We start from the raw sequence: 23,775 nt of genomic DNA, 5'->3' as shown, positions 1-23,775 counted from the left end.
GGCCTCCTTGGGGGAGTCCCTATTGTTTGCTACTAATGGAGCGGTTGCTGGCTCATATTGCGCAGATAAGATTGCAGAGCCCCAACCTTTTGTGTTTATGGTCAGAAGTGTGTGTGTTTGGGGCGTGGGGCGGGGTGCGGGGGGACAAGAAATTTCCTTTCAGTTACGGGGTTCCAGTCATTAGTCAATGACTCTTTCCCGTATCTCTCTCCTTTCTCTTCCTCAGCCCCCATTTCCCTTCAGAATAAAACCCAGTCACTCCAACTTGCAGGCAAAGCTAGAAAAACTGCGCTGCATTTGCAAACAAAAGCTCTTGTTGGCGATGACGATACTGTTTTGGGTGTGAAACTGTCAATTGCTAACTACGATCTGTGAAGTGCTGTAATTAACTCCGCTAGGGGCTCCTCCCAACTAGTCTACGTTTCTTGTTGTTTGTTTTTTGTTTTTTTGTTTTTTGTTTTTGAAAATGTAGAAAACTTGCAAATCTAAATTGGGAAGGGGTAGGAGGAATATTTCCTTCTCTGAGAAAAAGCTGCAGTGCAGGTTTCAGTTTAAGAAGGGAGCAGTTATCACATAGTCTCATTTTGGATTTAAGGATATAGGAGGTCTTACTGTGCATGATGGACAGTAATGATGATATCGTTCGGTCTTTAGAGGTTGCCCTTTTCATCCTCTTAGTGCTCTGCAAACAGCTAAGTCTCTGTGAACTGCGTGATATCGCTGATCATAATATAAAACCGTCAATACAGGAAAGTAGCTGTTAACCATATCTGCTTAAGAGGTCAGAGTCTGAAGTAAACAGCTTTGTGTATGTGATAATCAGGATTTGCTTGTGAGCAACTTGTTCATTTTTTTTTTAAGGAAGGCATAATCAAGGAGCATTTTCTTCATAAATGTTGAGATCTGTTGACTTTAAAATTTTGAGTTTCACATGCCTTGGTGTATGGCAGAAAGAATCAGCACTCGTAAGCTAGTGTATTTTATATAAGAAATGTAACGGGGTTGCTGGGAGCGGTGGCTCACACCTGTAATCCCAGCACTTTGGGAGGCCAAGACAGGCGGATCAGCTGAGGTCAGGAGTTCGATACTAGCCTGGCCAACATGGCAAAACCCCGTCTCTACTAAAAATAGAAAAAATTTAGCTGCGCGTGGTGGCAGGCGCCTGTAATCCCAGCTACTCGGGAGGCTGAGACAGGGGAATCGCTTGAACCCAGGAGGCGGCGGTTGCAGTGAGCCAAGATTGTGCCACTGCACTCCAACCTGGGCGGCAGAGCGAGACTCCGCCTCAAAAAAAAAAAAAAAAAAAAAGTGTAACGGGGTTAAATCAAAAGCCAACAGAGTAGGGCTTTGTTTTCGTGTCTTTGTATGTTTTTATTAACTCCAATTAAAAGTAAGATTTCAGCCGGGCACGGTGGCTCTCGCCTGTAATCCTAGCACTTTAGGAGGCTAAGGCGGGCAGATCATTTGAGGTTAGGAGTCCAAGACCAGCCTGGCCAACTTGATAACACCCCGTGTCTACTGAAAAATACAGAAATTAGCCAGACCTGTAATCCCACCAAGCTACTTGGGAGGCTAAGGCATGAGGATCGCTTGAACCTGCGTGGTGGAGGTTGCAGTGAGCTGAGATCGGGCTACTGCACTCCACTCTGGGCAACAGAGTGAGACTCTGTCTCAAAAATAATAGGCCGGGCGTGGTGGCTTACGTCTGTAATCCCAGCACTTTGGGAGGCCGAGGCGGGCGGATCACCTGAGCTCAGTTGTTCAAGACCAGCCTGGCCAACATGTCGAAACCCCGTCTTTACTAAAAATACAAAAATTAGCTGGGCATGGTGGCGCATGCCCGTAATCCCAGCTACTCAGGAGGCTGAGGCAGGAGAATGGCGTGAACCCAGGAGGCGGAGCTTGCAGTGAGCTGAGAGCGCGCCATTGCACTCCAGCCTGGGTGACAGTGCAAGATTCTGTCTCAAAAAATACAATAAAAAATAAAAGTAAGTAAGATTTCCATTTACGGGATAATTTTAAACTGAGGTTGACTAGTTTTGTGGGTTTTGTTTGTTTGTTTGCTTTGTTTGTTTTTAAGTCAGAGTATTGCTCTTGTTGCCCAGGCTGGAGTACAATGGCATGATCTGGACTCACTGCAGCCTCCACCTCCTGGGTTCAAGTGATTCTGCTGCCTCAGCCTCCTAAGTAGCTGAGATTACAGGGCCACCACGCCCAGTTAATTTTTGTATTTTAGTGGAACGGAGTTTCACCGTGTTGGTCAGGTGGTCTTGAACTCCTGACCTCAGGTGATCCACCAGTCTTGGCCTCCCAAAGTGTTGGGATTACAGGCGTGAGCTACCGTGCCCCTCCTACCAGTTCTTTTTTTTTTTTTTAAACTATTAATTAGCTTTACTACTCTGGATTTCTTGGAAAGTTTTCTTAAAATTACTAGTGTGTTTAGTCTTCCGCGGATTTTTTTTTAAACAGGAATTTTCCTGTTTTTTTAAATTTAAAATTAGAATAGTTATTAGCTAAGTTTGTTATAAATGAATAAAATTATTAGAGTCATCTTGGTTTTGTCAATTTCAAAATAAAAATTCATTTATACAAAATTTGTGTATATCATCCGTCCTTGGGATCATTACTTGCTGGATGCATTATGGCAGAAATACACTATTCTCTTGACTGCTTCATTTATTGTTTTAAAGGACAAAAAGGAAAAAAGAAAATACATTTTTCTTCTTAAAGTTTTTTGTTGTTTTTTGAGACAAGGTCTCTGTCACCTGGCTCACTGCAGCCTCCGTCTGCCAGGTTCAAGCGATTCTCGTGCTTCAGCCTCCCAAGTAGCTGGGACTCCATTACAGGTGTGCACCACCATGCCCGGCTAAATTTTGTTTTTTGTTTTTTTTTTCTTGTTTGTTTTTGTTTTTGAGACGGAGTCTGGCTCTGTCGCTGAGGCTGGAGTGCAGTGGCACAATCTTGGCTCACTGCAACCTCCGCCTCCTGGGTTCAAGCAGTTCTCTGCCTCAGCCTCCCAAGTAGCTGGAATTACAGGCGCTCGCCACCACGCCTGGCTAATTTTTGTATTTTTAGTAGAGACAGGGTTTCACCATCTTGGCCAGGCTGATCCTGAACTCCTGACCTCATGATCCACCTTCCTCGGCCTCCTAAAGTGCTGGGATTACAGGCATGAGCCACTGCACCCGGCCTAAATTTTGTATTTTTAGTAGAGATGGGGTTTCGCTATGTTGTCCAGGCTGGTCTCTAACTCCTGACCTCAAGAGATCGCCCGCATTGGCCTCTCAAAGTGCTGCGATTACAGGCCTGAGCCACCAGCACCCAGCCCATAAAGTTTAATAGTTGAAATTTGTAAGGGCACAAAGGTGTTTTTTTCTGGAAGTGTGAAGTTCAAGTCAAAAGCTCACTTAAATCTATAAGGACTCTCGGTTGCTATTACAAGTAGAAGAAAATTAATGAATTGTCTTGTTTAAATTGTGTGATACTTCAGTGAGTTGTAATGCAATTAAGTATAATGAATCACTGACTTTTAGAGATGTCAGAGACTTAGAGAATTCATGGGGAGGAAACTGAAGAGAAGAGATTATCATTGACGAGTAGTGCTAATTTACTAGTCTCTTTCTACTTAATCTCTGGATTGCTTTGAATTAACAATTTTAAATGTTTGATATTGGCCTCATTGTGTTTTTGAGATAGTTCAAAGTTGTGTCTATCCTAGCTTGGCTCGTGATTTGGTCTAAGTGTAGCTGTATTATTAATTCTTTAATATAAAAGATGAGAATTCTTTTAAAGGGGTTCTTTTAAAAGGGAAACAAAGTTTTTCTGTTGTGTTTGCTAATTTAATTTTGTTTGTTTGTTTCAGATTGACGTGAGTGAATTCAGATATAACTCAAGCTTGTTAGAGGGCTTTTTAAAAATAAAAAGTTGATTCCGTGCAAGAGAGCAAGTTACTGCTGCTTACCGTTCAGAGACTTACAGGTGCTTGCCTGCATTGCAATAAAGGACTCATTTATTGAGCAAGACTTATATTTATCTCTTCATTTTGGAGAGCCTAATAAACTGTTATTACAGTTTCTCTACTGACTTTCAAAAGTTTTGAAGTTTGAAAGACCTTTGCAATTAAAACAGCATGAGCACGGCCAGAACAGAGAACCCTGTTATAATGGGTCTGTCCAGTCAAAATGGTCAGCTGAGAGGCCCTGTGAAACCCACTGGTGGCCCTGGAGGAGGGGGCACACAGACACAGCAACAGATGAACCAGCTGAAAAACACCAACACAATCAATAATGGCACTCAGCAGCAAGCACAGAGTATGACCACCACTATTAAGTAAGTGTTAGAGTAAATTATTAATAAACACTTGTGGGGAACCAAGATTTGTGTTACTTTGGTGTTGACTATTAATACTTATGCCTTAATTTAACCATTTTGATTCCAAATAGAGGACAGATGACTTTGTTTTATGGCCAGTAGGTATTTGCAATAGAATAATATATTTCTGCCATAATTTGTTCAGCAAGTAGTCATCCTGAGGTCAGATGATACACACAAATTTTGTATAAATGGTTTTTGGAAACATTTCTGGCTTTCATAATTAGTGTAAAAGTTATTAGCTTAGTTTGTTGTAAATGAATAAAATTATTAGTCATCTCGTTTTTGTCAGTATAGTTTTTTTACGACTGCACCTTACCCTAGTTAAACAGCAGATAAAGCCAACTTTATGTATTAAATTTAAAGACTCAGTCTGAGTCTTTAGAGTCTTTAAAGACTTGCCCAGCCTTCTGAACTCCAAGCATTATTCACTCAGAAAATTTTCTCGTAACTTTTTTTAGCTTATGGAACTTAGCTTTTTTACTTTAAAAAAAAAAAAAAGTTGGCTGGTTGAGGTGACTCATGCCTGTAATCCCTGTACTTTGGGGAGGCCAATGTGGGAGGATCACTTGAGTCCAGGAGTTTGAGACCAGCCTAGGCAACATAATGAGACTCTGTCTCTACCCAAAAAAAAAATTTTTAATTTTTTTCCTCCTTTTACATATAAAAAGGGAACTAAGAATTTTGAACTCACAGAACACAGTTCTGAACAGTCTCAGAAACCTTTTGTTAACCTTAAAATTGAAGAGCCTCCTCTTACTAGAGGATATTTTTTCTTTTAAAGCTGAAAGTATGTAGGCTATTTGTTACTTTTAAGTGCATAGTTTAAATTACAATATTTGAATGGTAACCATCACTTTAAAGATTCAGTTATAGGAAATTAACATTTAAGATTCTTGACTCCAGTTGATGTTTGGCTTTTGTTAAGAACTTGCCATATAGGTCCGGGTGCAGTGGCACACGCCTGTAGTCCAAGCACATTGGGAGGCCAAGGTGGGCGGATCACCTGAGGTCGGGAGTTCGAGACCAGCCTGACAAACATGGAGAAACCTTGTCTCTACTAAAAATAAACCCCGTCTCTACTAAAAGTACAAAATTAGCTGGGCGTGGTGGCACATGCCCATAATGCTACTTGGGAGGCTGAGGCAGGAGAATCACTTAAACCCGGGAGGCGGAGTTGCAGTGAGCCGAGATTGCACCATTGCACTCCAGCTTGGGCAACAAGAGCGAAACTCCATCTCAAAAAAAAAAAAGGCCAGGTGCGGTAGCTCACGCCTTTAATCCCAGCACTTTGGGAGGCTGAGGCAGGTAGATCACGAGGTCAAAAGTTTGAGGCCAGCCTGACCAACATGGTGAAACCCTGTCTTTACTAAAAATACAAAAATCAGCTGGGTGTGATGGCATGCGCCTGTAATCCCAGCTACTCAGGAGGCTGAGGCGGGAGAATCACTTGAACCCGAGAGGTGGAGGTTGCAGAGAGCCAAGATCGTGTCACTGCACTCCAGCCTGGGCAACAGAGAAATACTCCATCTCAAAAAAAAAAAAAAACTTGCCATATAAAATAATTTAACCCTGGGAATCTTTATAAGATGTTGACACTGGGTTACTGAACTGAGGTATATGTTTTATTACAACCTAGATCTTTTCACTTCCTACAGAAAAATAGCTTATACAAGCTACCAGACTGTCATATAGTTACCGTATGTGGTTCACTAGGACCTCTAAGAACTAATTTTCAGCAGAATTGGTTAGGTCATTGGGAGAATTGGTATTAGTGTATATTCTGTTATTTTTAAGGTGAATGCTTTAATTGGTATAGAAATGAATACTACTTCAGTTGTAGTTTGTCTTGGCAGAATGTAAGTAGGTTAGCAAAATTTAGACTATTTTTAATTTTTTTTATAACTTTTTTTTTTTTTTTTGAGACAGGGTCTCACTTTGTTGCCTAGGCTGGAGTATGGTGGCACGATCATGGCTCACTGCAGCCTCAACTTCCCAGGCTCAAGTGATCCTCCTGCCTCAGCCCTACAAATAGTGGGGACTACTGGCATGCACCAGTAGCGACGGCGTTTTGTCATGTTGCCCAGGCTGGTCTGGAACTCCTGAGCTCAAGTGATCTGCCCACCTCGACCTCTCACAGTGCTGGGATTACACATGTGAGCCACTGCGCCCAGCCTATTTTTAATTTTTTTTTTTTTTGAGATGGACTCTCACTCACTCTGTTGCCCAGGCTAGAGTGCAATGGTGTGATCTCGACTCACTGCAACCTGCACCTCCTGGGTTCAGTTCAAGCCATTCTCCTGCCTCTGCCTCCCAAGTAGCTGGGATTACAGGTGTCCACCATCACGTCTGGCTAATTTTTGTATTTTTAGTAGAGATGAGATTTCATCATGTTTGCAGGCTAGGCTTGAATTCCTGACCTCAGGTGATCTGCCTGCCTCGGCCTCCCAGAGTGCTGGGATTACAGGCGTGAGCCACTGCACCTGGCCTATGAGAATATTTTCTATTTAAAAAATTCTGGGGCTGGATATGATGGCTCATGCCGTTCATCCCATCACTTTGGGAGGCTGAGGTGGGAAGATCACTTGAGGCCAGGAGTTTGAGACTAACCTGGGCAACATAGCAAGACCCTGTCTCTACAAATAATAAAGGCTGCAGTGAGCTATGATCGCACCACTGCACTCAAGCCTGGGTGACAGGGTAAGACCCCATCTCAAAGAAATAAAAAATAAATTCTGATTTGGGGACAACAGTGGATTTTGATTTTTCTTTTCTGGTTTTCCTACGATTAATGGTTTCTTTTCAGTTCTGCGGTTCTTCAAATCTCATTTTCTCTGCCCTCTCTTCCATGAAGTCCTCTAGATCCCATCAAGTGTCTCAGAACACTTCTAATACTTAACCTCCGTCACTTACTTTCTCATTTTAAATAGTTTTTTCATCTCATAAGATTATAAATTTCTTGTGGTCAGGTTTTGCATTGTATCTTACGCATTATTATTCACTATTTTGTTGAATTCAACGGTATGTCAAACTGACATCAGAAACTTCGATGATACAGGCTTAGATGAAAGGCTTTAGTAGGCCGGGTGAGGTGGCTCACGCCTGTAATCCCAGCACTTTGGGAGGCCAAGGCAGGAGGATCACGAGGTCAGGAGTTTGAGACCAGCTGAATCCCCGTCTCTACTAAAAATACAAAAACTAGCCAGGTGTAGTGGCAAGCTCCTGTAATCCCAGCTGCTCTGGAGGCTGAGGCAGGAGAATTGCTTGAACCCCGGGAGGTGGAGGTTGCAGTAAGCCGAGATCATGCCACTGCACTCTAGCCTGGGTGACATAGCAAGACTCCATCTCAGAAAAAAAAAAAAAAGGCTTTAGTACAGTAGTAGTCTTGGAATTGGTAGCAAAAAGTTACCAATGTTAGAGTATGCATTATGTAGGACCTAGTTTTAAGTAAAATAAGTGGTCTTTTTGTCTGTGAATGGAGCATTTGAGATGTTTTGGGGACTCTGGTTATGTAAGAACAGCTGCAGTGAAAACTTTTTCGAAGATGTCACAGTTAAATACTTTGTCTGCAGATGTTCCCTGATCTTTTTTTTTTTTTTAAAGATGCTTTGAGTATTTATTACTTGAGGTTTTTACCTGGCCAAAAAGAGAGTTTATTTATATTCTCCTTGTTTTTATTCTCTTTCATGATTTCTAGCATTTCCAATAAAAAAGAAAGATTAAGAGATGCTCATTGGCTAATACTGTGCTATTATTTTGCCAGGCACTGTGCTGAGTGCATTATATCAATTGTTTGATGTAACTGTTAACCTATTTTGTTTTATTTATTTATTTGGAACGGAGCCTTGCTCTGGCGCAGGATCTTGGCTCCCGGGTTCAAGCAATTCTCCTGCCTCAGCCTCTTGAGTAGCTGGGATTACAGGCACATGCCACCATGGCTGGCTAATTTTTGTATTTTTGGTAGAGAGTGGGTTTCACCGTATTGGCCAGGCTACTCTCGAACTCCTGACCTCAGGTGATCCGCTTGCCTTGGCCTCCCAAAGTGTTGGGATTACAGGTGTGCGCCCACCTTATTTATTTTTGAGACAGAGTCTCCCTCTGTCACTCAGGCTGGAGTGCAGTGTCGTGAGCTTGGCTCACTGCAGTGTCCGCCTCCCAGGTTCAAGTGATTCCCCTGCCTCAGCCTCCCGAGTAGCTGGGACTACAGTTGTGTCCCACCATGCCTGGCTAATTTTTGTATTTTCAGTAGAGGTGGGGTTTCACCATATTGGCCAGGCTGGTCTCGAACTCCTGACCTCAAGTGATCCGCCCACCTTGGCCTCCCAAAGTGCTGGGATTACTGATGGGAGCCACCACGCCTGGCCTGTTAACCTATTTTAAAAATGAGAATAGCCGGCCATGGTGGCTCACACCTATAATCCTATCACTTTGGGAGGCCGAGGCAGGTGGATTTCTTGAGCCCAGGAGTTATATAAGATATATAAAATCTTACAGTTTTTAAATGTTGAGAACTAATTTAAACTCATTTAAATTAAAACACATGCTGTGTAGGTCAAACAAAACACCTTTTGACAACAGTTACACTGTATACAATATTGCTTAAGAGGATGGATGCCTTAATCCCTTCTGTTCTTGATTTTTTTATCCTCCTGAGATTCTCTATAAGAACACTTTTTCTAAAGTTGTTTAATTATCTTGTTAGATATATTAAATGGAATATATTAAACTTACTGTGCTTTTTTAACACTTAATTATAATTGAGATGAATCATCTTTGTTAGGATGCTATGAATTTTGATACTTCAAGTTTACTGTATTCTCTCTAGACCTGGTGATGACTGGAAAAAGACTTTAAAACTCCCTCCAAAGGATCTAAGAATCAAAACTTCGGTAAGTTGGTTGTAAAATACAAGTAGAATAATGGTGGGGAACTAGAAGTGAGGTATAGCTGTCCCTCGGTATCTGGAGGGAATTGGTTTCAGGACCATAACACCACTGCCACCCTCCTCCTCCAACCCAGTAAGATAGATATTCAGGCTATATATTCCCATTTTGTGGATGAGAAAACAAATGCTCAGCAGTTAGTTCTCTTAGCCTATTGTTTTCAACCGGGAGAATTTTTGTCTCCCGGGGGCATTTAGCAATTTGTAGAAACATTTTTGCTTATCATCAATAGGGGGGAAGCTAAAGGACAGCCCTTTACAACAAAGAATTTTGTGGCCCAAAGTGTCAGTAGTGCTGAGCTTGAGAAATTTGACTTAGCCAAAGATATTTGTAGCTCATGAGTGGTAGAGGTGGGATTTAACTTCATATCTTGTGATTTGCAATTCATGGCATGATATTTGTGTAAAAAAATAACACTATTCCACCAGTCCTTAGGAGACTGTGACCAAGGGCCGGGCACAGTGGCTCTTGCCTGTATTCCCAGCACTTTGGGAGGCCGAGGCAGGCGGATCACCTGAGGTCAGGAGTTCAAGACCAGCCTGGCCAACATGTTGAAACCCTGTCTCTACTAAAAATACAAAAATTAGTCGGGTGTGGTGGCGTGCGCCTGTAATCCAGCTGCTCAGGAGGCTGAGACAGGAGAATTACTTGAACTTGGGAGGCAGAGGTTGCAGTGAGCCGAGATCACGCCACTGCACTGCAGCCTGGGTGACAGAGCGAGACTCCATCTCTCGAAGAAAAAAAGAAGGCTATGACCAAGTGCTCTTTCCCCAAAACATAGTTTTTTAAAAAGCTTGTGTGTCAAAGCAGGGACAGTGGTTTTTCTTCAGGAAAAGTTGAAATACAGATTAAAACAAGTAATCTGCATATATTTATATTTAAGATTGGGCAGGTAAAGTACTAAAGTCAGAGAAGTTTTCTTTCCTTTTTTTTTTTTTTTTTTTTTTTTTTTGAGATAGAGTCTGGCTCTGTCCCCCCAGGCTGTGCAGTGAGTGCGATCTCACCTCACTGCAACCTCCGTCTCCTGGGTTCAAGCGATTCTCCTGCCTCAGCCTCCCAAGTAGCTGCGACTACAGGCGTGCACCACCACCCTGGCTAATTTTTTGTATTTTTCGTGGAGTTGGAGTTTCACCATGTTGGCTAGGCTGGTCTTGAACTTCTGACCTCAGGTGATCTGCCCGCCTTGGCCTCCCAAAGTGCTGGGATTACAGGCATGAGCCACCATGCCTGGCCCAGATAAATTTTCTTAAACACAGATAAATTTACCAAAGGACACCAAATTTACCAACAGTGTTATTTATTCTTTTATTGTTCCTTTTTGTTTGACTAGGATGTGACCTCCACAAAAGGAAATGAGTTTGAAGATTACTGTTTGAAACGGGAGTTACTGATGGGAATTTTTGAAATGGGCTGGGAAAAGCCATCTCCTATTCAGGTATGTTAACCCTTTTTATCACATATGTAAGGTTATGTGTCAACCATTAAACAGTTTTCTTTTTGCTCTGCAGAAGTGATACAGTGAACTAACATTTCTCTCTCACGTATACACACTTTTTCTGAAATTTTTAAGGGTAAATTAGAAAATCATGGCTTTTACAACTCTAAATATTTCGGTGTGTATTTCTTTAGGATATTCTCTTACGTAACCACAGTACAGTTACCTTCAGTTAACATTGATAAAATACTTCTATCTCATCTGTCATTCTAATTATTAATGGACCCAAACATGTCCTTTATAGCAGTTTTTTTCTTCTATACAGGATCCAGTCTAGGGTCAGGTATTATTTGTAATTATGTCTTTTTTAGTCATTAGCGTTTCCCTAGTGTTTGTTCTTCTTTTTATGACATCAGCATATTAAAAATACAGCCTACAACCCCTTCCCCCATCCCTCTTTTTTTTTTTTTTTTTTGGCAACTGGGTCTTGCCCTGTCACCCAGGCTGGAGTTCAGTGGCCTGATCTCGGCTCACTGCAGCCTTGACCTCATGGGCTCAAGTGATCCTCCTGCGTCAGCCTCCTAGTAGCTGGGACTACAGGCATGTGCCACAACACCCGGCTAATTTTTCTATTTTTTTGTAGGGATAGGATTTTGCTATGTTATCCAGGCTGATTAAAACTCCTGGGTTCGCCATAGTGCTAGGATTACAGACATTAGCCACCATGCCTGGCCCCCTTTTTTTATTAATAGTACATTTCCCGTTTTGGGATTTTGTGATATTCCCAAGTAATTAGATTCAAGGTAGGCTTTCTCAGCCCGAATAATGCAGAAATCACATTATGGCCTTCTCAGGGTATCATGTTTGAAGGTGTGCCTAGTGTCCATTTATTCCTCTTTGGTGATGTTAATTTTGATTACCCTGTCAAGATGTTGTGTGGTTTTTCCCTTCTATAATTACTGCTCTTTCCCCTCTCCCTTGAGACGAATAAGCAATCTGGGGTGCATTTTAAGACCATACAAATACAATAATACTATGGCCACCCTCCTCCTCCAACCCAGTAAGATAGATGTTCAGGCTAGGTATTATCCCCGTTTTGTGGATGAGAAAACAAAAGTTCAGAGCAGTTCTCTTAGCGTATTGTTTTCAACCAGGGAGGATTTTTGTCCCCCAGGGGACATTTAGCAATTTGTAGAAACATTTTTTATTATCATCAATGGGGGGATGCTAAAGGACAGCCCCTTACAACAAAGAATTTTGTGGCCCAAAATGTCAGTAGTGCTGAGCTTGAGAAACTTGACTTAGCCAAAGATACTTGTAGCTCATGAGTGGTAGAGGTGGGATTTAACTTCGTATCTTGTGATTTGCAATTCATGGCATGATACTTTTTTAAAAAAATAACAAAATTTCCCCCCTAGTTTTAGCACCCATTGGTGATTCTTGCTTGATCTCATCTCTGCTCTGATGGGTTATGATGACTTTCCAATTCTAGCACTCCCTCTGTATTTGCCCCTATAAAGAAGAAACTTCCCTTCCCCTCATCCATATATATCTGTTATCAGTATGGACTTATACTCACCATTTTTTTCAATTTTTTTCAATTTTTTTTTTATTATTATTCTAAAAATAGCCTAGATCTGGCCAATGTAAGCTCTTTCAGCCTGGTTCCTATGTTTTTATGATGTGTCCCCTTCATTTTTCTTGAGTACTTTCTTGGTTTTTTTTTTTTTTTTTCTCTTTTTTGAGATGGAGTCTAGCTCTGTCAGAGAGGCTGGAGTGCAGTGGCATGATCTTGGCTCACCGCAGCCTTCCCATCCTGGGTTCAAGCAGTTCTTGTGTCTCAGCCTCCCCAGTAGCTGGAATTACAGATGTGTGCTACCACACCTAACTAATTTTTGCATTTTTAGTAGAGACAGGGTTTCACCCTGTAGACCAGGCTGGTCTTGAACTCCTGACCTCAAATGATCGCCCACTTTGGCTTCCCAAAGTGCTGGGATTATAGATGTGAGCCATCGTACCCGGCCCCTTTCTTGCTTTTTGACATATCATGATGCAGGCTTATCTTATACCTATCCTGGCCCAGCATTGGCATCCAAGGATCCTTGATTCTTTTTAGTGTGGAGTAGTATTAGGGACCAAGACCCAGGCATTAGGTACCCTGTTTGCTACTTGGTCCTTTCAGTGGAAAGAGCAAGGAAATAAATGCATGTATATACATATCCACACACACATACACATAAATATACACGTACATATAAACATGCATTATACATAGGCCAGTTTGATAAATGATGACAACAGACATACTTAAATTGATGAAATGATTGAATTCAGGCTGTGCTAAGGACAAACCCTGTGACATCACTGAGTACTTTTTCATTGAGCCAACATGTGTGGAGTGACCTAGAAAGTGTTTGACCTTGGGAATTCTATAATGAATAAGACAGATATATGGTTGCTGTCTTACAGTCTGGAAAGGACAGCTAATTGTACAGGTAATTCACTGTAATATGATGAGTACCTTTCTAGTTGGAATTGCGTATGTATGTAGTCATTAGAGGAAGATGGGACAACCTGGAAGAATTGAGCTGTGTTCCAAGCAGAGAACGCTGGGTAATGATTGCCCAGAGTTGAGAGTGTGCTTTTGGCTGGATAAAGTATCAAAACAAGGATATGCATCATCAGAGGGGTAATTTGGGTGTAGGTATTAGAAATACCTAGGAATCTACTATGATGTAGTTCATGTTAAGCCATTTTATCTACACTGAAGTCTTTTTTTTTCTTTCTTTTTTTTTTTTTTGAGACAGAGCCTTACTCTGTTGCCAGGCTGGAGTGCAGTGGCGCGATGTCCACTCACTGCAATCTCCGACTCCTGGGTTCACGCGATTCCCCTGCCTCAGCCTCCCGAATAGCGGGGACTACAGGCGTGCACCACAGCACCCGGCTAATTTTTTGTGTTTTAGTAGAGATGGGGTTTCACCATGTTAGCCAGGATGGTCTCGATCTCCTGACCTTGTGATCTGCCTGCTTCAGTCTCCCAAAGTGTTGGGATTACAGACGTGAGCCAACACACCTGGCCCACTGAGGTCTTATGAGAGTTCCTTTACAGTAGGAACTGCATCATTCAACTTTTATCTCTAGTACTTAGCATAGTGCCTGTGCTTATTTAGCGTGCTTTGATGAAACTTAGGTAACTCATGTCTGCAGGTGAACTTGGTGTAGGGAACTGCCCAGATTAAATCCCAGCTCTACTCCTTCATAAATTGGTTATTTGGGATCTATAAGTCTTAGACTCCTGACCTATATAATTGAGGTAATAGTATAATACCATAGGGTTGTTGTAAAGATTAAGTGAGATAATTCACATGCTTAGTACAATGCCTAGTACGTGATAAATGCTCAAAAATGTTATGGGTTATTTTATATAATAGTTTCAAAAAAGGAAATTAGTTAATTTAGGAGACGTAATTGTTTTAAATTTGTTTTAAAGAGACTGAGTCTTGCTAAGTTGCCTGGGCTGGATGCAGTGTCAGAATCTTAGCTCACTGCAGCCTCAAACTCCTGGGCTCACGTGATACTCCTGCCCCAGCCTCCTGAGTAAGGATGATAGTGTAGTACCAGCACACCTGGTTGTTTTTTGTTTTTGTTTTTGTTTTTGTTTTTGGTAGAGTCAAGGTTTTGCCATGTTGACCAGGCTGGTCTTGACCTCCTGGGCTCAAGCAGTCCTCCTGCCTTGGCTTCCCAATGTGCTAGAATTATAGATGTGAACCACTGCACTTAGCCCAGTCCTCATTCTTAGTGGATATTTGCTGACTCCTATTTCTTACCTTGTATTAAAATTTAAAATTAACTTTGTTACTTGTACTCTGAGTGTTGTTATAGCATATAGGCAATTAACTCTTCAGCCACTTAACCAATCTGACATCCAGCTTTTTCTGTAAAGTAGAAATAAGTACTCTCCCTCACAGGATTTTTATTGTTAAGATCAAATGTAGTGTACAACCAAAGTATTTTGAAATAGCAAGGTATTGTATGAGTATATTGTTTTAGATACTCAAGGTCACCACTTGTATTGCCTTTTTCTTTTTTTTTATTGCCTTTTTCTTTCCTATTGTTTTGTCCTGGGGATCCATGGAAAGCACAAGATTATGTGTTTCTTAGAATCAATCAGAGTTACAAGTCACAAATATTAGGATTTTAGAACCGAAACAAAATTTACAGATCCCCTAGTAAAAAAATTTTTTAAATTTTTATTTTCATAGGTTTTTTGGGGGAACAGGTGGTGTTTGGTTACATGAGTAAATTCTTTTGTTTTTGAGACAGGGTTTTGCTCTGTCGCTCAGGCTGGAGTGCAATGGTGTGCTCTCGGCTTACTGCAACCTCTGCCTCCCGGGTTCAAGCGATTCTCGTGCCTCGGCCTCCCAAGTGACTTGGGATTACAGGCGGGCACCAGCATACCCGGCTGATTTTTGTATTTCTGGTGGAGACGGGGTTTCACCATGTTGTCCAGGTTGGTCTTGAACTCCTGACCTCAGGCGATCCACTCTCCTCGGCCTCCCAAAGTACTGGAATTACAGGCGTGAGCCACCACGCCTGGCCAAGTAAATTATTTAGTTGCTATTTCTGAGATTTGGGTGCACCCATCACCCCCCTGGTAAAATATAACCTCATGGCAGGCTGTCTTCTAGTATTCTTTCCATTCTTATCTACCTTCTCGTTTTATTTTTGTCATCCCTCCCCCATTCCTAAAAGTATCTCTTCTATCATGCTTGGTTTTACAGTTTTATCCAGGCATTTTTTTTCCCCTAAATATTAAAACTGCCTTGATTAGATGGGTGAGTCTTCTGCATTTGAATATTTGTTTGAGATGGAATTTAGTTGCAGTTTGGCTGTGAGATTTGGAGAATTGGCTGGGTGCAGTGGCTCATGCCTATAATCCCAGCACTTTGGGAAGCCAAGGTGGGTGGATTGCTTGAGTCCAGGGGTTCAAAACCAGCCTAAACAACATGACAAAACCCTGACTGTACAAAAATTAGCTGGGCATGGGGGACATGTAGTCTTAGATGTTCAGGAGGTTGAGGCTGTAAGTGAGCCAGGATTGTGTCACTGCACTCCATCCTGGGCAACAGAGCAAGACCCTGTCTCACAAAAAAAAAAAAAAAAAAAAGACTGTTAGAGAATTAGGCACTTAAAATTATATGCTCTCAAAAGAGCTTTTACATTGACAGGCTGGAACCAGATATACTACAGATTGCTCCCACAACGTATTTCTAGAGCCATCTGTGACCAGTTCTAGGTCTGGATGCTGTGGCCAGTAGAATAATTGCCATTCTAAAGGTATAGCTTTATAGGAACCTAGACTTCTTTGGAAGGCTTAAGAATATACTGTTTTTGTCTGCTTAGCATTATTTGAAACTTTATATTAACTTTGGGGTTATGATTGAGAAAGATGGCCTCTCTCGTTGCTTCTAAACCCTGGGAACACCTCTTGAAGACTTTTTCGAAACTCTAAGAAGGTGAAGAAATGAGAAGTAGTTGATTATTGAGGGAAACATGGAAGCTCCGTACTGTTGGCAACAAAATTTTGTGCCAGGTCAGCTAAGGTCTAATGAGGATTAATAGTTTACTATTTATAGTTAGGAATTATAGCATTCTGAATCCTGTAAATAAGTCATTCTTCCTGCTAACAATCGGTTTATCATGATTGAAAAAAATATTTCCTAAAAACTCAAAGGTTTTTTTTGTTTGTTTGTTTTGTTTTTTTTTTTGGTGTGTGTTTTGTTTTGTTTTCTTTTTGGGTGGGGTCGGGGAGACAGAGTCTCAGTTTGTCACACTGGCTGGTCTTGAACTCCTGGCCTCAAGCAGTTCTCCTGCCTCAGCCTTGCAGAGGGTTGAGATTACAGGTGTGAGCCACCATCCCCAGCCTAAATTAGAGATATAATTAGAAATTACCATCTCCCTTTTTTTTTTTCCTGTTAAGCAGGGGACATTTGTAACAATCATTGCTACCTCGTCTGGAGTAACCATAGGTTGTTTTTTTGTTTTGTTTTATTTTGTTTTGAGACAGAGTCTCGCTCTGTCGCCCAGGCTGGAGTGCAGTGGTGCAATCTTGGCTCACTGCAAGTTCTGCCTCCTGGGTTCACGCCATTCCCCTACCTCAGCCTCCCAAGTGGCTGGGACTGCAGGCGCCTGCCACCACGCCCGGCTAATTTTTTTGTATTTTTTTAGTAGAGACGGGGTTTCACCATGTTAGCCAGGATGGTCTCCATCTCCTGACCTCATGGTCTGCCCACCTCGGCCTCCCAAAGTGTTGGGATTACAGGCGTGAGCCACCGCGCCCGGCCTTTAACCATAGGTTTTTTTTCCCTCTTGGAAATTAAGGTTTGGAAAATAAGAGGAAGCAGTCAGTGTAAATGCAGCTAGTTGGGTGATGTTGAGCTTTTGTTGGTACCACACTTTTGTAAAATGCCTCTCAATGCTAGGAGATTGGAAAATAAACCATTCTTTAATTATAGGCATCAGAAACCAACTCGATCTAACTTAAGCAAAAGGAAATTTATTGGAAAAATAACGGGAATTCACAAGATTGAGAAGGCTAGAGAAACATACTTGGAAATGACTAAGAATTGAGATAGCTCTGAAGGACTTAGGAAGCTGTAATGGATGCACTATAACAATTTAGATTCTTAGGAGGCAACATTCCGCTGGCCCAGTGTGGGCTATGTGTCTACCACTTGGCTTAGAAAATTGGTGAGGCTTGGTCTGTTGGGACAGGGGAGACCAGGGCATATGTAATTCCTTAGAAGGAAATTGGGGTGTTACTTAGTAAAGGGATACTAGAGTAACCAAAACACAACAAATACTCTTCAGTCATTATCTAAACGTTACAGTGAATGTGAATTTGGAGACCTAAGGTGGCAGATGTCAGCCCTAAGCTTGTGGGGTTGGTTTTTTGGGGTTTTGTTTTTTGGGGGTAATAGCTTTATTGAGATATAAATGACATCACACATCAAAAGTATACAATTTAATGCTTTTTAGTGCATTTAGAGTTCTGCAACCATTACCACAATAAATTTTAGAACATTTTGATCAGTCCCACAAAAGAAACCCTTTTAGCAGTCACACCTCATTTTCCCACACCCCTAAACAACCACTGGTATACTTTCTGTCATTCTAGCTTTGCCTAGTCTGGACATGTCATATAAATAGAATCCTATAGTATGTGTTTTTTTTGTGACTGGCTTCTTTGACTTAGCGTAATGTTTTCCGAGTTCATCTGTGTTGTAGCTTGTATCAATATTCCATTCCTTTTTCCTGAATAATATTTTATTGTATGGCTCTATTACTTCTGATTTATCCAGTCATCAGTTGGTAGACATTTGGGGTTGTTTTCCAAGGACTGAGGATTTAATGTGCTATTTTGTGAAAATCTGAGAAGTAGGAAGGGGATTTAATGATCTCAACTGTCATCCGTCTGAAAAACCTAACTTGTGATTTTAAATAAAATAGCAGGCTGCCTTCCCCTGTTCCCTTTTTAAAATAGGAACTGACCCTGCTTTAACCTTATGAAGTTTTATTTATGAATAAAGTTTGTACTATTATAAAAAAAAACATAGAAGGAACTGGCTATTAAGGATAATGCTGCTATGAAAATTCAGGTGCAGGTTTTTGTGTGGAGATGTTTTTATTTCTCTTCGCTGTATACCTAGAATTGCTAGTTCATATGGTAACTCTTTTTAACCTTTTGAGGAACTGCAAGGCTGGTTTCCAGCGTAGCTGTACATTCCCACTAGCAGTGTATGAGAGTTCCATTTTCTCCAACTTCTTGCCTACATGTTATGTGCAGATCTAAGTTCAAATACTGGCTAAAGCATTTCTTGCTTTGTGACCTTGGGCAAACTAATCCTGTTTAGGATCCATTTTGTCAGTTGTAAAACAAAGTACCTAACTTGAAAGTTGTGCTGAGCACATAGTAAGTTTTAAAAAAAGTTTTCGTTTCCTTCCTCCTTTGCCTTCTCCCTGGCAGTTCCTCATAATTTCCTCTTGTATTTCACAGCTTTTTGAACTTGACTTGAATTCTCTTGCTTTTCATTATTTCCTGAGAAACACTGGTAAGAGGCAGTGTGGATGTGCTGAATTCACTGACTGTTAATCATAATGGCCATCATATAAGGCAAAATATCAGGGTGTCTTAACTTACAGTCTATCACATGTACTTTGTTAAAGCTTTATCCTTGAACAGTTTTTGTAGGGTATAATCCCTGTCAAAGAGGGCAAAGGAATAGAAGTCAATGGCCTTAATCAAGTCAGTCAAAAGATGAACTGAAAAGGGGGATTAGGATACCTCTAGTCTAATTCTGTTCTGCCTCACTTGATTGAAAAAAAGGTTTACACTTTAAAGAACCTGACCCAGCAAGTCGTTATGAGACCATCAGAGACCACCTATCTTACTTTTTCAATACTGTAAAACTGAGTAGTGTGCAGGCAGCCTGTTAAAAACTACAGACTACTGGCACCACAGAACCACAAAAGAGAAAACCTGAGGTGACAGGGTAATGGGAGCCTCTGGAACAACTGGAAATAATGGTTCACTTATCTGTGATGAGGGAAGAAATTTAAGACCAAAGGGTTAAAGCCAAGGTTTTCTTCTTTGTTTGCTTTACCTTAATAAGCAGAGTCTTTAATGCTGGCTGTAAGAACAAGACAACAGTATTTTCTTTTCTTTTCTCTCTCTTTTTTTTTTTTTTTGTGAGACTGAGTCTTGCTCCATTGCCCAGGCTGGAGTGCAGTGGCGCAATCTTGGCCCACTGCAACCTCCTCCTCCTGGGCTCAAGCAGTTCTCCTACCTCAGGCTCCCAAGTAGCTGGGACTACAGGTGCGCACCATGACCATTTTTGTATTTTTAACAGAGATGGGGTTTCACCATGTTGGCCAGGCTGGTCTCGAACTCCTGACCTCAGGTGATCTGCCTACCTCAGCCTCCCAAAGTGCTGGGATTACAGACATGAGCCATCGTTCCCAGCCAACAACAATATTTTCACAGTTGTTCTGGCAGCTGTGTTGTTCTGACCATATGGAACCCATTTATATCCTGTGATTGGAGCTCTAGGTAGAAAGAGTGTTGTCGTGGGAGATGGAAGTCATCCTGCTTATTTAGTCATTTCTACCAATAGCAGCTTTAAAGGGCTAAAGCTGTTTTTTGTTTGTTTGTTTGTTTTTGTCGTTAGCCCAGGCATAGAAGGGACAAATGTCAGTGACTGTGAATTTGGTTCCTAGTATCTTAGTTTTAGAAATTAAAAATTCAGGCCAGACACAGTGGCTCATGCCTGTAATCCCAACACTTTGGGAGGCCGAGGTCGGTGGATCATCTGAGGTCATGAGTTCAAGACCAGCCTGGCCAACATGGTGAAACACCCCGTCTCTACTAAAAATACAAGAATTAGCTGGGTGTGGTGGCACACGCCGTTAATCTAAGCTGCTCGGGAGGCTGAGGCAGGAGAATCGCCTGAACCAGGAGGCGAAAGTTGCAGTGAGCCAAGATCGCACCATTGTACTCCAGCCTGAGTGACAAGAGCGAAACTCTGTCTCAAAAAAAAAAGAAAAAAAATTAAAATTCCACATCATGGCCCGGCGCGCTGGCTCACGCCTGTAATCCCAGCACTTTGGGAGGCCAAAGCGGGTGGATCACGAGGTCAGGAGATCAACACCATCCTGGCTAACACGGTGAAACCCCGTCTCTACTAAAAATACAAAAAAAAAATTAGCCGGGTGTGGTGGCGGGCACCTGTAGTCCCAGCTACTCAGGAAGCTGAGGCAGGAGAATGGCGTGAACCCGGGAGCCAGAGCTTGCAGTGAGCCGAGATTGTGCCACTGCACTCCAGCCTGGGCGACAGAGCGAGACTCTGTCTCAAAAAAAAAAATTCCACATAATTTCCTTTTAACAATTTTTCAACGATCAAGCTTTTTCAACGATCTATTGTATTTTATAGTTTGTTGTTGTTGTTTGTTTTGTTTTTGCAAAGAGTGGGGGTGCTTGCCATGTTGCCCAGGCTGTTCTTGAACTCCTGACCTCTCTTTGTATATGTCTATTTATTTTTAAGTAACTTTTGGGAATCCTTTGCTGTTGTCTGGGAAATTTAAGTTAGTATGAACTACTGTTATTATTTGCAAAATAGATAACAAAGTAAGCCAAATATTAAAATGAGAGGTCACCTTTAGTGATGTGACCGTATTTGAGGTAGCTGCAATAGAATTGAACCTTCAATAGAGAGCACATTACAGAACAGAGAAGTAGGCTGTGGGACAGACATTGGAGATTTACTTATTATATAAATAAATGACAAATAGGACCTGAGGTTAAACTTTCCCAGCCTATTCGTGTTTTGTTGCAGGGATGAGGTGTCCAAGCTACAATTTTTCACTGTGGTCAAATTGGTGTGCTAGTCTCAAAATATATATAGTCTTACCTTGGAATTGTTTTTGTTTTTTCCTTTAAAAATTTTTGTAGAGATGGGGTCTCACCATTTTGCCTAAGCTGTTCTCAAACTCCTGGGCTCAAGTGATCGTTTTGCTTTGGCCTCCCATAATGGTGGGATTACAGATGTGAGCCACTGTATCTAGCCTTTTTTTTTTTTTTTTTTTTTTGAGATGAGACGAGGTCTCTTTCATGCTGGAGTACAGTGGTGCAATCATGGCTCACTTCACCCTTGACCTCCTGGCTCAGCCTCTCAAGGTTTATGGACACCCACCACCACACCCAGCTACTTTCTGTAATTTTTGTAGAGTTGGGGTTTTTCCATGTTGCCTAGTTGCCCGGGCTGGTGTTGAACTCCTGGGCTCAAGTGATCCCCCACTTCTGCCTCCCAGTGTGCTGGGACTACAGGCATGAGCTGCTGTGCCTGGCCATTTTTCCAATTTTTATTTGAAGGAGGCTTTGCTTTTGTTTTGTCTGTATTTTCAAGTGCTATTTATGGGTCAGCCTGAGTTCCTCCATTTTCTTTGTTGTTCTCTTCAGATACACACATAACACAGTTCTTATGACATTGGGTTACAATTTAAAATTCTGTGAGCAGTTCTGGTAAATACTGGTTTATAATGATGTTGATGTTGACTGGTCGTGCTGATTTACTTGGATCTCTGCTATTCATGTAGAATTCAAATGTAGGATACTTAGGACACTTAAAGCAATACCGAAAGAGGTATCCTTCAGTGTATTTCAGAGAGGAATTTGCTTGTGTACTACATTCAGAAGTAATTTTGTATTGTCTTATCTCTTTTAGGAGGAGAGCATTCCCATTGCTTTATCTGGTAGGGATATCTTAGCTAGAGCAAAAAATGGAACAGGCAAGAGCGGTGCCTACCTCATTCCCTTACTTGAACGGCTAGACCTGAAGAAGGACAATATACAAGGTTAGTTGAATAAAAGTTTGTTTTTAAACTAAAAATGGGAGTTTCAGCCTTGGAGCCATGTGTAGAAGATACTCTTTTTTTAGTCAGAATTTACATTATCTAAAATTTGTATTCTTTCTTTTCAGGTTTTTTCTTTTTTTAGCCTGATGATGGTCTTTTTATTAAAAATGATTCCCAGCTTTTTAGAGATTTCTAGTTTTAAGAGTATTCTTATATGATACACACTTGTGACAGCATTCCAGTGAGACAGGAAAAATAAGTATTAGTGCCCTATAGGTAGGAAAGCTGAGGCTGGGCACGGTGCCTCACAGCCTGTAATCCCAGCACTTTGGGAGGTCAAAGTGGGTGGATCACCTGAGGCCAGATATTTAAGACCAGCCTGGCCAACATTGCGAAACCCTGTCTCTACTAAAAATGCAAAAATTAGCTGGGCATGGTGGCGCACAACTGTAATCCCAGCTACTCAGAAGTCTGAGGCACGAGAGTCACTGGAACCCAGGAGGTGGAGGTTGCAGTGAGCCAAGATTGTGCCACTGCACTCCAGCCTGGGTGACAGAGTGAGACTCTCAACTCAAAAAAAAAAAAAAAAAAAAAAAGGCGGCTGAGGTCATGAGAAGTTAAATTAGTTGACATTGCTACTTATAAACTATGGAACTATTTCTTGTGGCAGATGAGTGTTAACAGAATTCCTTGTAGAAACATGAACTTCTGTTTAAAGGCTGTGGATTTTGGGATTTTAAGAGCCTAGGCAGTGGGGAATAAAAAATTTTCATAGTTATATTCAATGTAAGTTAATGGAATTAAGATTTCATCTCTGAAACTTTACATTTTTAGCTTTCGTGATCTGTAATTATCTTTTCTTCCCACTTTCATATGATGTAAATAGAGCCTAGGTAGCAGGAGTTTCCTACCTAGGTATTTTACACAGTGAATCTGACTCAAATGTAGTTGGGGCTTTTAGAAATATTGTTAATAAACTTTGAGCTAATAGTTGCGAACTCAACATGCTGAAAGTTTGTAATTAAGAACAGTATTGGCTGGGTGTGGTGGCTCACGCCTGTAATCCCAGCACTTCGGGAGGCCGAGGCAAGGCAGATCACCTGAGGTCAGGAGTTCAAGACCAGCCTCGCTAACATGGTAAAACCCTGTCTCTACTAAAAATACAAAAATTAGCTGGGTGTGGTGACATGTGCCTGTAGTCCCAGCTACTCAAGGAGGCTGAGGCAGGAGAATTGCTTGAACCTGGGAGGTGGAGGTTGCAGTCAGCCAAGATCATGTCACTGCACTCCAGCCTGGGTAACAGAGCGAGATCTGTCTCAAAACGAAGAAGCAGCAGCAGCAGAAGGCCAGGTGCAGTGACTCACACCTGTAATCCCAGCACTTTGGGAGGCCAAGGCAGGAGGATTGCTTGAGGTCAGGGGTTTGAGACCAGCTGGGCCAACATGATGAATCCCCGTCTCTACTAAAAATACAAAAAATTAGCTGGGTGTGGTGGCGGTTACTCAGTAGGCTGAGGCAGGAGAATTGCTTGAACCTGGGAGGCAGAGGTTGCAGTGGGCCGAGATGGCAGCCACTGCACTTCAGCCTGGACAACAGAGCAAGACTCCATCTCAAAAA

The 23,775-nt window shown here is 41.7% G+C and overlaps 1 protein-coding gene across 13 annotated transcripts in view, besides 4 other annotated features; it reads left to right on the top strand.

The window, feature by feature from the left end:
* The window catches only part of DDX6 (DEAD-box helicase 6), a 43,982-nt gene that overhangs the window by 1,364 nt on the left and 18,843 nt on the right, over positions 1-23,775 (top strand). For 10 of the 13 annotated variants that reach the window (NM_001425146.1, NM_001425153.1, NM_001425152.1 and 7 more), the window contains exons 2-5: positions 3,863-4,329; positions 9,197-9,260; positions 10,645-10,749; positions 22,029-22,158. In NM_001425146.1, the coding sequence (NP_001412075.1) occupies positions 4,130-4,329; positions 9,197-9,260; positions 10,645-10,749; positions 22,029-22,158 (499 nt within the window). In that variant the 5' untranslated portion in view covers positions 3,863-4,129. The remainder of the gene's footprint in view (positions 1-3,862; positions 4,330-9,196; positions 9,261-10,644; positions 10,750-22,028; positions 22,159-23,775) is intronic. The other 3 variants (NM_001425147.1, NM_001425148.1, NM_001425154.1) reach the window with 2 other exon arrangements.
* Positions 60-617: an enhancer, noted in NCBI's record as "NANOG-H3K27ac-H3K4me1 hESC enhancer chr11:118660473-118661030 (GRCh37/hg19 assembly coordinates)". NCBI's record gives its function as "activates a minimal SCP1, AML or CMV promoter by ChIP-STARR-seq in primed H9 embryonic stem cells {active_cell/tissue: H9 hESC(primed)}" and the evidence as "EXISTENCE:reporter gene assay evidence [ECO:0000049][PMID:30033119]".
* Positions 142-221: a silencer, noted in NCBI's record as "silent region_3952". NCBI's record gives its function as "represses an Ori minimal core promoter by ATAC-STARR-seq in GM12878 lymphoblastoid cells {active_cell/tissue: GM12878}" and the evidence as "EXISTENCE:reporter gene assay evidence [ECO:0000049][PMID:35858748]".
* Positions 422-601: an enhancer, noted in NCBI's record as "active region_5598". NCBI's record gives its function as "activates an Ori minimal core promoter by ATAC-STARR-seq in GM12878 lymphoblastoid cells {active_cell/tissue: GM12878}" and the evidence as "EXISTENCE:reporter gene assay evidence [ECO:0000049][PMID:35858748]".
* Positions 7,735-7,935: a silencer, noted in NCBI's record as "peak1491 fragment used in MPRA reporter construct". NCBI's record gives its function as "represses an SCP1 promoter by STARR-seq MPRAs in K562 erythroleukemia cells {active_cell/tissue: K562}" and the evidence as "EXISTENCE:reporter gene assay evidence [ECO:0000049][PMID:32103011]".

Source organism: Homo sapiens, chromosome 11 (assembly GCF_000001405.40).
Source record: "Homo sapiens chromosome 11, GRCh38.p14 Primary Assembly".
Taxonomy (NCBI): Eukaryota; Metazoa; Chordata; class Mammalia; order Primates; family Hominidae; genus Homo; species Homo sapiens.
The sequence above is the reverse complement of the archived record's forward strand: the minus strand, read 5'-3'. Positions and strand labels throughout refer to the sequence as shown.